Source organism: Homo sapiens, chromosome 3, assembly GCF_000001405.40.
Source record: "Homo sapiens chromosome 3, GRCh38.p14 Primary Assembly".
Classification (NCBI taxonomy): Eukaryota; Metazoa; Chordata; class Mammalia; order Primates; family Hominidae; genus Homo; species Homo sapiens.
Genome location: NC_000003.12, coordinates 179,940,254 through 179,953,159, shown reverse-complemented (window position 1 = coordinate 179,953,159; position 12,906 = coordinate 179,940,254). Strand labels below are relative to the sequence as shown.

The 12,906-nt window shown below is 40.0% G+C and overlaps 1 protein-coding gene across 36 annotated transcripts in view, besides 1 other annotated feature; it reads left to right on the top strand.

Annotated features, from left to right (window-relative positions):
• The window catches only part of PEX5L (peroxisomal biogenesis factor 5 like), a 241,980-nt gene that overhangs the window by 83,778 nt on the left and 145,296 nt on the right, over positions 1-12,906 (top strand). The gene's annotated exons all lie outside the window — the stretch shown is intronic.
• Positions 10,765-10,844: an enhancer, noted in NCBI's record as "active region_20873". NCBI's record gives its function as "activates an Ori minimal core promoter by ATAC-STARR-seq in GM12878 lymphoblastoid cells {active_cell/tissue: GM12878}" and the evidence as "EXISTENCE:reporter gene assay evidence [ECO:0000049][PMID:35858748]".

The following is a 12,906-nucleotide window of genomic DNA, read 5'->3' as shown; positions in this document are numbered from 1 at the left end:
TTTTCTTCTAGGGTTTTTAGGGTTTTCAGTCTTATGTTTAAGTCTTTAATCCATCTTGAGTTGATTTTTGTATAAGGGGTAAGGAAGGGGTTCAGTTTCAGTTTTCTGCATATGGCTAGCCAGTTTTCTCAACACCATTTATTAAATAGGGAATCCTTTCCCCATTGCTTGTTTTTGTCAGGTTTGTCAAAGATCAGATGGTTGTAGATGTGTGGCATTATTTCTGAGGCCTCTGTTCTGTTCCATTGGTCTATATATCTGTTTTGGTACCGGTACCATGCTGTTTTGGCTACTGTAGCCCTGTAGCATAATTTGAAGTCAGGTAGCGTGATGCCTCCAGCTTTCTTCTTTTTGCTTAGAATTGTCTTGGCTATACGGGCTCTTTTTTTGTTCCATATGAAATTTAAAGTAGTTTTTTCTAATTCTGTGAAGAAAGTCAATGATAGCTTGATGGGGATAGCATTGAATCTATAAATTACTTTGGGCAGTATGGCCATTTTCACAATATTGATTTTTCCTATCCATGAGCATGGAATGTTTTTCTATTTGTTTATGTCCTCTCTTATTTCCTTGAGCAGTAGTTTATGGTTCTCCCTAAAGAGGAGATCATTGTTGAATAGATACGATGTATGCTGTTTTCAAAAGGGTCATTGAAAAGTAAGTGATTAGATGAACTTACAAATTGTTAACTATCCTCAACAGTCTCATTGTCATTCTGCTATATACACATCTTTCCCTTCTTCCCACACCCCCCGACCTTTTCTTTCTGCTACAGGTACAGAGTATTAGCAAAGGCGGTAGACCCTTTCTGAAATATACAGTTTTAAAAAAAAAATCCAAAAATATTTCTTTCTCGACATTTGAAACAAAGCTAGAATAGAAATAAAATTCAGTGGGTATATTGTTTCCTAAAGAGACAAGAGTATGCCTTTCGTCTGTTGTTATGCCAGATTGTTTGATATTACAGAATCCGGATTAAATGCAGCTAAACAAGGCTACCTTTGCTTTGGAAATCTGCCTTATTAGATCCAAGAAGCTTTCTTGCAAATCTATAATATAAGCAAAGTATAGTAGCAGAAGCAAGCATTACTTTTGCATTCAAAGACCATGAGTTTAAGAGGAAAAAGTCACTATTGTAACAATTGCTTTGTAATTGTAAATTATCACAAATTTATCATTGATAAAGGTCTATTCCACTATTGGAAATATGTTGGAAGGAGCTGGGATGTGGAAATAAAGAAGAGAAATATAAAGAAAATACATAGTTATTTAAGCCATTTTGTTTTCTTGGCTTTCATTTCATCGTCATCACCTCCATCATCAACATTGAACACTCCCCATGGACCACATGGCATGAACATTGCTCCTCTTTTTGAGAGTATACACTCTATGTACTTACAAAATTCATATATAAACAAAGTGGCTTGAACAAAACAGCAGTTTATTTCTGTCTCACAAAAAGGAAATCTGGTATTATATCATGTGGGGTTGGTATAAGATCTCCTAAGTGGTCAGAAATGCAAGCCTCTTCCAGCTCTTTGCTCTGCTATACCTTAGAAGAGGACCTAGTCCTCATATTCTAAAATAGCTGCTGAATCCTCATTCATCATCTCTGAGTTCGAGGCAGCAAGCAGGAAGAAAGGTGGGGCTAGAAAGGTAAAAAATAATCTACTTTTCCTTTTTTTCTTTTTTTTTAAGGAGTCTTTGTAGAAGTTTCATAGAGACCATTTGCTTATACTTCATTGCCCAGAATTTAATCAAGTAGTCAAAACTGGCTACTGGAGATGGGTTCCCCTAGGAAATAGACTCATTTATTCTGCATGGTAATATATCTACCTGAAAACCATGTTACTAAGGAAGAAAGACACGGGAGTAGAAAGCTAGTAATCTCAACTCTAATGATCACACTCAAACTGACAAAAATAATTGTCTTCTCTAAAGTCAGTGACCAAGGAAAATAAGCATCTATCGCCCATTTTTCAGAATTTTCTTAATTCAGTCTTATAAAGTCACAAAGCTCGATATTATTTCATTGAGGTGGGAGGGAGAGGAAGCAAGAATAACATTTTTTATGGAATATGCAAAGTCTCCGTTGTAATAGCCTTCAGCATTTCCCTGACAAAAGAGAACAGACTATGCATATTCTAAAGTGAGAAAAGGCCAGCAGGACTTACATCTTGTAGAGTTCATTGTTTCAGTGCAATCTGGTACCCTTTGCCATTGGGCACCACACATATGCCTCCTCCAACACACATTTTGCTCCCTGCCTCCTCTTACGTCTCCGTTTCAGAATACTTACCAATTTCCTCTCAGCCTTTCCTCATCCATCACTCACTTAGCCAGGAGACCCTTAATCTCCCCTGCACTACTATTGTTTTACTTGCTTTGACCTCTTGGGACTTACGTGCAGTGCCAGTGAGGGGCATGTTATCATGATCTTACCTTTGTTTCCACATGCTCATTGAATATTTTCAACTAGACTGTAAGTGCCTCAGCAGCTCAGTCCAGTCTTTACACCTGCATTAGACAGCATGTGCTTGCTGGGGATAGTGTATGCAATGGGCCCTCAATAGATGCTATTAGATCAAACTAAAGATGTGAGAAGATGGGAAAGAGGTATTTTTTTTTACATTTTTTAAATTTTGTTATTATACTTTAAGTTCTAGGGTACATGTGCACAATGTGCAGGTTTGTTACATATGTATACATGTGCCATGTTGGTGTGCTGCACCCGTTAACTCGTAATTTACATTAGGTATATCTCCTAATGCTATCCCTCCCCACCCCCTCCCCTCACCCTACAGCAGTCCCCAGTGTGTGATGTTCCGCTTCCTATGTCCAAGTGTTCTCATTGTTCAGTTCCCACCTATGAGTGAGAACATGCGGTGTTTGTTTTTTTGTCCTTGAAAGAGGTGTTTTCTAAGAGGCTGCACCAATTGCCTAGCAAGTGTGACTATAAGACATGCTAGGACCAAGCACCACAGGGCAGTGGGAAAGACTAAAAGCTGACCTGATCATCAATGAGCCTGCAGTGTAAAGCCACTGTCACTGACCAAGAAAATTCAGGTGGCAGTGCCAGAGAGCACACAGTCCTTCGACCACAGTTTCACAGTACCAATAGGCCGGTCCTTTTACAGCAGATCCTCAGCAAAGGCTGATGGTGGGGGAAGAAGGCTCACAAGTGGTAGGTGAGATGTCAGGGTCCAGCCAAGATGAGGACAGAGTTCCAGAGAAACTAAAGTTGAACCCAGGTGTGCAGACTGGGCCAATGTTGCCAGCCCTCTTAAGGTAGAAACTGCATCTTATTCATTTTTATATTCCCAGCACCTAGCACTCTCCTGCTTATAGCAGGTTTTTAATAAATGCCTGTCCCTCTAGGTAACCTGTCCATAATCACGAGATTATTTCAGACTTCACCTGCTTGTCAGATGAGGCTCCCTATTCCTCCTACCCTTGAGGGTTTGGTTAGACTTACTTTGCATGAAAAAGGCAGCAGCTGGGGCAAGAAGGCCACCTGTCTCCACTCAGTGTCTTTGTTTTGCTTGGAAACAAAGTATGATACTCTGTAAGGCAATCCAGTGTGAACACAGGCAATTTAGTGTGTAGTCCTACCAGATGTTTTATATAAAGTAATACTTAATGGGTTCTAAATTAAAGGGAGCAGTTGCTTGGTCTTACTTTTTAAGGGAAATAATTTCTAGTGCTTACATATTATGGAATACTAGGGGCAATTTAAAGTCATGCTGACAGAGTTTATACTGACATGCAACAATGCTTAAAACATACTAAGCAAAAACAAAGGCAAGACAAAAACTTGGAAAGATCCACTGTGTTAAGATGCTTAACAAAAAGGGCTCTAAGGAAACATTCTAAAATATTAGTAGTAATTTTCTCTGGATGCTGGAATAATAAGTGGTTTTTAAAACTACTTATTTTTTTTTTAAAAATCTACTCTTCAGTTCTGTACTTTACCATTTATTAATCCTTCCCAAAACAAGTTTTTAAAATAGAATATTGCAACACGGACTAAACTATGAGAAAGACCTGTACAGTTAATCAGACTGGAAATAATGCCATTCCAAACCTCAGCTACAAATACGGCCACATGTTTCATCTAAATAGAAGAGACACAACGGCACCGTCACTGGGAAAGCTAGTCATGGGATCTGCTCACTGTTGGTATAATGTCATATTAACTAAATATTATTAAAGTCTCTTTGCACGAATGTAGATATACTGATTGCTTGTGTTTAAAATCAACATCAGCAAAAATGCTCTAAAAAACTTCTTAGTTGCCAGTTCATACAATTCTGTTAAAATTGCATTTTAACAATGAACATTAATAGCTTTAGAAGCTTCAGATTAATAAACAAGTCGACTGCTTCCGCAGAGAGAAAATCCAAGGTAGGCATTCTTTTTGTTTATCTAGTACTTTGTTTTTTCAGCAGCTGGTGGGGATTGGGGATTGGGTAGAAGTGAAGAAATACAGTATGCACCTACCCAGTTTTGAAAGTGATAGCATCATTTACAATTTTACAGAATTGAATTGGTAGCTCCTGCACGGAGGGAATTTTGCTGAATTCTAATTCTCTCCGTGGATCCACACGTCTAATTGTATTTCTCCCATGCTGCCTTCCTGTTTATCTTCTTATTCATCTTCTCTGGTCAGATGACAACTCGGTCAGTGCCCACTTCCAAATTCTAATTTTCCCCCTGATAATTTCTCATCTTGCTGACCACAGCCAAACAGGAGAAAGTTAAGCTGAGCTGTTTTTGGAAGATACTTTAGATAAAGACCAAACAGATGCTGAAATCCTTCAAGAAGGAAGACAGCTTGCTAGGTGAGAATTGCTCAGGATTTTGTTTGCTGCTTCTTTGGGGAAGATTGATCATTTAATAACTTTAGGGGATATCTGCCTCAAATGCAAATACTGTAATATGAAAATGTGAACTGAACTTCCAGGCCCTTTGCTATGAATTATAAATTTATGAAATTTATTTATAATTATGGAAAGTCAAACACATTTTATTTATTCCTAGATGGTAATGCTTTTAACTAAGAAAAAGCATCTGATTAATAACAATGTTCTAAATAGTAAATCCAATCCCTGTTCTTATTCTTCACTTTTCTTCTCCTTTAAAAGTAACTTTTTTGGCCAGGCACGGTAGCTCACATCTGTAATCCCAGCACTTTGGGAGGCCGAGGCAGGCAGATCATGAGGTCAGGAGATCGAGACCATCCTGGCTAACACGGTGAAACACTGTCTCTACTAAAAATACAAAAAATTAGCCAGGCGTGGTGGCGGGTGCCTGTAGTCCCAGCTACTCGGGAGGCTGAGGCAGGAGAATGGCATGAACCCAGGAGGCAGAGCTTGCGGTGAGTGGAGATCATGCCACTGCACTCCAGCCTAGGCGACAGAGTGAGACTCCGTCTCAAAAAAAAAAAAAAGTAACTTTTTTGATTATTACATTTAAAATATGGTTATTATTTTTAAAATTTGGCAACTACAAAGTTAAAAAAATGCTATTTACTTTGCGTCAGTACTATCTTTATATTGTTTTTGCTTTGTTTGGGAATGTTAAGGTACTATAGTAGAATAAGCCTGTGTTATTCTACTACTGTAATAGAAAAAAACCTGGGTTTTAATCCTGACTGTACCACTTCCTAGCTGAGATTATGGTTAAGTTCCTTAAGCTCCCTGAAACTCTTTTCTTTGGCTGAAAAACAAAGATAGTCATATCTGCCTCCATAATTGGTGTAAGGGTTTGAAATAATGTATTCTTAGCACATAGTAGGTGTTCAATTAATGGTAACGATAATTATTGTGTAATATTTATTATAATAAAAATATAATTTTTATTCAATTAATGGTAACTGTATTATCATTATGCTTTCTATCTTTTAAGTTTCAGAATCTAATTACACTCTTTGCAGAATTTTTTAGTGTTTGGAAATTTCAATCCTGCTTCTAATTGATTGATAAACACATAGTCTGTGGAACTGAGAAAGGCCACTACCAATTTCTCAGATGAGCGTACTTTCACAATACCTCAGTGAGAGATTTTCCATGTCTGCTGTGCTCATTAATGTGTGTGAGCCTCCACTCAATTGAAAATTACCCAAGTAGGGCGTCCATGTTTCATATACTATGAAACCCCTTGTAGCCAGGCTACTCAATACATACCCACTGCTACTGACAGAGTTAATAATATACATCAAATATTGCTCATTGATTCTTCTCTTTTTGTCAATGCAAAAAATCCATGTATAGTGCAGCTCTATTTGACACCATTTAGAGGTGGACTGTTGGTCCACCCAAACTGGAAAAAGCTGCCTCCACTAACTGAAAGCTTTTCTCACATTATAGCTGTGTGCTGTTATTAATGAGAGAGCCTCTAGCTCCTGGTTCTCAGTCACAGATGCACACTGGAATAATGTGAAGATTTTTTCCAAATACTGATGCCTTCCTAGGTTTCACGCCCAGGGATTCTGATTTAATCAGTACCTCACTAGAGCTTCTGCTTTTTGAGTAGCCATTGAAACCCTGTTAGTGACTCTACTTAGAGTTAAGAATTTGTATGTGCTTTGTGAATTGGTTGTTTTATCTTCTCACTTTCTTCTTGTTGTCATTATTCCCTCTATTCTAACAGTTTCTCATCTAACTTCTCTATCGCATATGTTTTTTCTTTCTTCAGTCTCTGTGTTTGACCTGTAAACAAGGAATTTCAGTTGGGAGATAAGGGATGGTGTCTAGTGAATTTAGATTTCTTTAGACCCTGCCCTGTGTCCTGCACTATTCTAGGCTCTTTATTTCCTTTATTCTTCACAGCAATCTTGGAAGGCAAGTGAGAGCACCTCATCTACCATTAAGAAAGCTGTAACTCACCAAAATTAGTTCACTTACTCTATATTATACAGCCAGCAAGAGCCTGGATTGAAGCTCAAGATTATTCTGATTTCAAAACTCTTTCCACTCACTGTGAATTACAAAATCAGAGCCCTTGGATGAGGCTAGGGGATGGTAGAGGTGGTCACATAGCAGAGTGAAGCTGGCCAAGTACAGAGCAATGAAGAGAGGTAAGGACAGTGGCAAATAAAGAATGAATACCCCTAGAACATTCAGATGCAAAAAAAAAAAAAACTTTCAGTACTGCAGATCAACACATCTATCTGTACACTCAATTTGGCTTGCAAGTCACCAGCTTTTACCCTTTCTTTTTCCAACTTTGCAAAATAACATTCATGCCATTTCCCTCTGCAACCACACACAAGAGGCATGAAATATACTGCGTGACCTCGAGTGGGAGAACTGAGACTAGTGGATAGAAGTAAAAGGAGGTGAATTTTGATCGGATATGTTTCATAGACTTTCCTATCAGAGCTGTCCAGCAAAGGAACTGGCTGCCATGAAGCAGAAAGCTCCACGCCAAGAGGACAGAGCTGAATAAACCTCTGTAGCACTCCCAAGGAAAGGTGTCTTCCCATGGACGGAAGGTACAATTCTGTTAAATGTTTATTGACCTTTCAAGCGTGTGTCATGCCCTGTACTAGCCTCCGTGGGAACTGTTCAGATACAAAACCTCCCATGGAGACTGCAGTCTTATTAGATAGCCTGGCATCATGCTAACAAGTCTTTAACTATGTCTGTAGCCCTTATCACAACCTCAAGTGGTAGATGCCATTAACCTGAGTTAAGAGATGAGGAAATTCAGACTTAGAGAGATTTAGAAAGTTATTTAATGGCACACAGTATTAAGTGACAGGGAAAGGATCTCAGCCAGGAAGTAAAGTCTGTGCTCTTAATGACTGTTCCAAATATCCTCTCTCAGTAGGGACACCAGCTCAGAAACCTGAGTCATCATTCAGGAAATCTGTCCCAGCCCTGGTGTCCCAATACTTAAAATTTAGGTGATTTCACCCTGTCCCAACCATTCTAAAAAGGAGCAAGCTGAGAATCCCCATTCTGCCAGCTTCTTCTGGTTGCTAGAGATGTGATATGAAGACCACGGTAAACTTGGCTCTATACGATTAAATAACAAGGGAACCAATTGCAAATTGGCTTCAATTTTTCACTCTGTTATGTCCAAAGAAGACTATAAAACAGAAGTTCTGAGTGCAAGCATTGCACAGCTTTTCTCATTTCAAATGTAACTTTGAAATCAGCATGACAACCTGCTATCAAGAAATAAACATATTGACAGGCAACCTTGCCTTGTGAAGCGGACACAGAGGGAGATGTTAAGAGACCTGAGTGAACGTCCTGATTCTGCCCACTTACTAGTTTTGTAATCTTGCATTTCACTTCATTTCAGTGATTTCTGTTTCTGTATGTGTAGAGATAGAGTTTGCACATTGTTATGGGGAAACCCTTCAATGTACTGTAGGTGCTCAACAAATGTTTGCAATCCTTCCTTGAACATCAATTGAAAACTGTTGAAAACGGCCTTAAAATGGGCATAAATTGGAATCTTACAAGATTTACCAGAATTGGTTTATAAACTCAGTATAGCAGTAACATGTGATAAGGTCATTTAAAAGAACATAATTCTGTTTTTCAAAAAAGACATTTATTGAACTGGAGGAAAAGGAAGGGATGAGAATGGGAAACTGACATTTATTAAGCTCCTGGTCTCTGCCAGGCCATGTTAGACCTTTCCAGGCATTTCGTTTATTCCTCGTAACAGTCTTGTGAGATAGCCATTTTTATCCCCATTATCATAAATGGTGAGCTGTAAGACTGAGAGGTTAAGGAAACTGCTTGAGTGTCCAAGACTGGATTTGAACTCAAGTCCCCAGACTACCTGAGCCTTTCTAGTGGGGACCATAGTGTCTATTGATTTTTGTTGAGCAAAAGTCTCTTCTTAGAAGGCTGGATTGAGTGTAAACCTCCCATCTTTTATGCATCTCTGAAAGTAGCAGTCTGCTATCATCTGAGTTAATAGTTGCTCTTCCAACAGAGATTTGTGGACACAAAATTTCTAAAATTTCTGATATATTCCCTCCATTCCCTAAAATTTGTAATGGCTCCTGATGAACTACCCGGACATCATGATGACCTGTTTCTATATTAAAAAGTAGCCTTTGAATTCATAAATTGTTCTAATTGTAATTTGAGTGGAATATAAGTTTATAAACTTTTTCAGTTTTTTGGGGGGGGGAGGGCATATTCTTCTGGCAAGTTTGTTGAGAGAGCCCCATTGAGAGTAGGCATCACTTGTCCTCAATGTGTGAGTTACCCAGTTTTACCAGGAAGCCTTATCTGGTCCTGCTTCCTTCTGCTTTACCCAGGGAATTTGAATAGCTGATGTGGAAAGGAAAAAGGAGATGGAGCACAATTGGTAGAATTAAGCATTGTGTTGAGAATTGTTACTGAGTCCTTCAAGAGACCTTTGTCTGACTTGAGCATCTAAGAATTCAAGCCTTGTTTTTCTCTCTCATATATAATGACAGCAGCGGGCCACAGATGTCACGTGCTTAGTGCTCACCGCCTCTGCTGTCTTATTGTGATTCTCCACGTGGTGGAATAAAACATTGCACACAGAATGCAGACCACATTCAGCTTCCCAGAAAGTTAGCTTCCAGTGAGCAGAAACTGAATTTCCATACCTAAATTCTATAGGAAAGGATTCGACTAATTGGACATGAGTTTCTGTTCTCCTCACAATAATTTACTGCAGGCTAATTATTACACATTTAAATACTTTGGATAAATGAATTAAAAGCCAGTTTTCCTCTTTATTCATCCAATTCATTAGATGATTTCATTTTAGGAAATGAGGAAGTAGATGTGATTAATTGTGCAACAAATGAGCAATTCACTCACTTATACAAGGAATAAGAATCTCTGTGCTAAGAGATGGAATGATTTGTTTCCCCACTGCCAAGGTGGCTGCTGGCCATACAGGGCATAGTGTTCATACAGTGCAAATGCTGATGATAGCGCTAACCTAATATAAAGATGCTTGCTTGAAATCCAGAGCAATCTTCATCTACCATAAATAGGAAAGTAAGCAGGATTCTAAAAGTAAATATAGTAAAATAATAATAACAACAATAATATTCAACTCATATAGTTCATTACTTTTGCAAGTGCTTTGGTATATGTTACGTCATTTGATTGTCACACAACGACACTGGATGTTAGTATTGTTACTATCCCCATTTTACAGATAAGGAAACAGGTTCAGAGGACATTACTGCATTGCTGGAGGACACATAGCCCATAAGTAGCAGAGCCAGAATTGGAACGCAGGCCTCCTGATGCCAAAGTAATACGGCCTTTCCATTATGTCTACTATATGTAACCTAAGAGGACAAAATGGAGAGAGGAAGAAAAGATCAATCTGAAAGCTGCGTCCTTTGGTTGTTCTAGCTCAGGTCACCACACATGCTAACTCCCTGTTCCCATCAAAAGGCAGCTGGCCTTGAAGGGCTGGAGCAGGGTCGAGTATACAGGAGACTCAGTTGACAGGTGAACTCTGTCCCAGTCCACTGTCTTCCATGTGTGCGTCCCAGTGAAGGCAGAGTCCTGGGAAGAAACCATCCGTCTCATGCGCCTGGGTCGAGAGAGGGAATCCGGGTGCAGTGGGAGGGAGGTGAGGACCAAAGAATTCAAGATAAAGGAGATTCCGCGCCTCCGAGTGCCTACCGGTGCCACTGCCCTGCAGAAGCGCTGGGGCCTTGGGCATGCGCGCAGCGGGCGCGGTCACAGGCTCCAGCCCCGCCCAGCCGCCTCCGCGGTCCCGCAGTGTTGTCATTGCTCTGGCAACTGCGGACACATCCCACGCCAGAACAGCCGCGAGAGGGACATCGGGTTCGGAGTGGCCCTCCTCAGGCTCCAGGTGCAAAGTGCTCCAAAACAAAGCAGCAGAAATAGCAGCCACGAAAAGGAGCCCTCGGAGGAGAAATGAGGCCCAGGCTTCTTGGGAGAAGATGCAGAAAGGGCTGTCACAATTAATTTCAGTCCGGAGGCCAGTTTCTGGAAGGGTTCAATAGACTAGAAGTACATACAGACGGCAACAGCTTTTCCTCCAGTGGTAAAAAGCAGAGTGAACTTTAAATCCAGATCCTCTTCCTCCAATCAACCTTTTCTTTGAAAAGCTGATAATCTTTTCTTTTCTTCTTTTTTTTTTTTTTTTTTTGAGGAGTCTCACTCTGTCACCCAGGTTGGAGTGCAGTGGCGCGATCTGGGCTCACTGCAACCTCCGCCTCCCGGGTTCAAGCGATTCTCCTGCCTCAGCCTCCCAAGTAGCTGGGATTACAGGCGCCCACCACCACGCCTAGCTAGTTTTTGTATTTTTAGTAGAGACGGGTTTTCACTGTGTTGGCCAGGCTGGTCTCGAACTCCTGACCTCGTGATCCGCCCACCTCTGCCTCACAAAATCCTGGGATTACAAGCGTGAGCCACTGGGCCTGGCCAAATAATCTCATTTTCAAAGTGAGAAATATTCTATTCTTATAACTAGTATGAGCTGTGTTGGAAAGTTTTCTACTCACTCTTTTCTACCAGGTTAATCAATGTTGTGGGTAGGAGCTTGGATTTTGGCATCGCACAGACTGGCGTTCAAATTCACACTATGCTATTTATTGACTGTGACTTTTGAACAAATACCTTCCCTGATTCTCAGTCCCTTCATCTGTGAAATGGGGGAAATGCCACCAACCTGATAAAGTTATTTTGAGAATTACATGAAGTACTGAATGTTGAACGCTTACTATAACATCATGGTGAATGAAATAATGCAGACACAAAAGGAAAAATACTGTATGGTTCCATATATATGAAGTACCTCGTAGAGAATTTTGAGCTGAGGGGAAGGGCAAGAGTTCTTGTTTAATGGCTGCAGAATTCCAGTTGGGGGAAAGGTGTGGAGATGATCACACAACAATGTGAACGTATAAATGCCGCTGAACTGTACATGTTTAAATCGGCAAAATGGTAAATGTATATTATGCATATTTTAACACAATAAAATAAACAAATTTTAAAATGTTTACAGTAGAGCTTGGCGCACAATAAATGGCTCTAATCTTGTGCCCCACCCTTCACATACTTCTATCACTTGCTATTATTTGCACTGTATTTTATCCACTGCGTCTGCCACTGTTACATTTCAATCTTCTTGAAAGTGAAAGACCGCTGGTTATATCTTATTCATCTTTTCTACCTCTGGCCTACCATAACGCCTGGCACATGTTAAGCACTCATTAAATGATTTGGGGAAAAAGAGGTAGCTCAAGACTCTTCCCCTCCTGTTTCTTACATTTTTAAAACCTCTCAACATTGTAAAAGGTCACTTATTTCTCTTTTCGTGCTAGAAGATCCTTATTTTGGACTAAAATGGTAAGTTCACACTATTGTACCAATGTATTATTTAAGCTTCAATAAATGAAGGAGACATTTCTCTAAATTAGGCCTCTGAGGATTGGATCCATGTTGTTCTTAAGGAGTTACGTCTTGCTCTAAATATACAGGCAGAGCAAAAGTGGAGCATGGGTTGCTGTTCCTTTAGAGGTAAATTAATGCTGTATAGAGTATTCTATGTCCAGTATATAACTGGAGCCCCACATGGTTCTCTCTTCATGCAGTACCATTTCAAAGAAACAGTAGCCAGATGGCATAAGCTTTGAAGAAACCGTAGACCATTAATGAAGTTTCCTGATAGTGGCAACTAAGGGGATCCCGTAGCACTTCATGCAGAAAGTCTCTCAAAAGCCTTCTGTAGGTCTCTTTCCATCTCATTAAACGTCTCCACATCCCCCAGCGCCCCCCAACACACACAGTAACTGCTCAATTCAATTTCACTCTTCTCTCTCTCTCACCACCTCTTTCTTTCTCTTCCCAGCTTTCTCTCTCTCTTCCCACCTCTCCATCTCTTTCTTTCTCTTTACCCATTCCTCTCCTC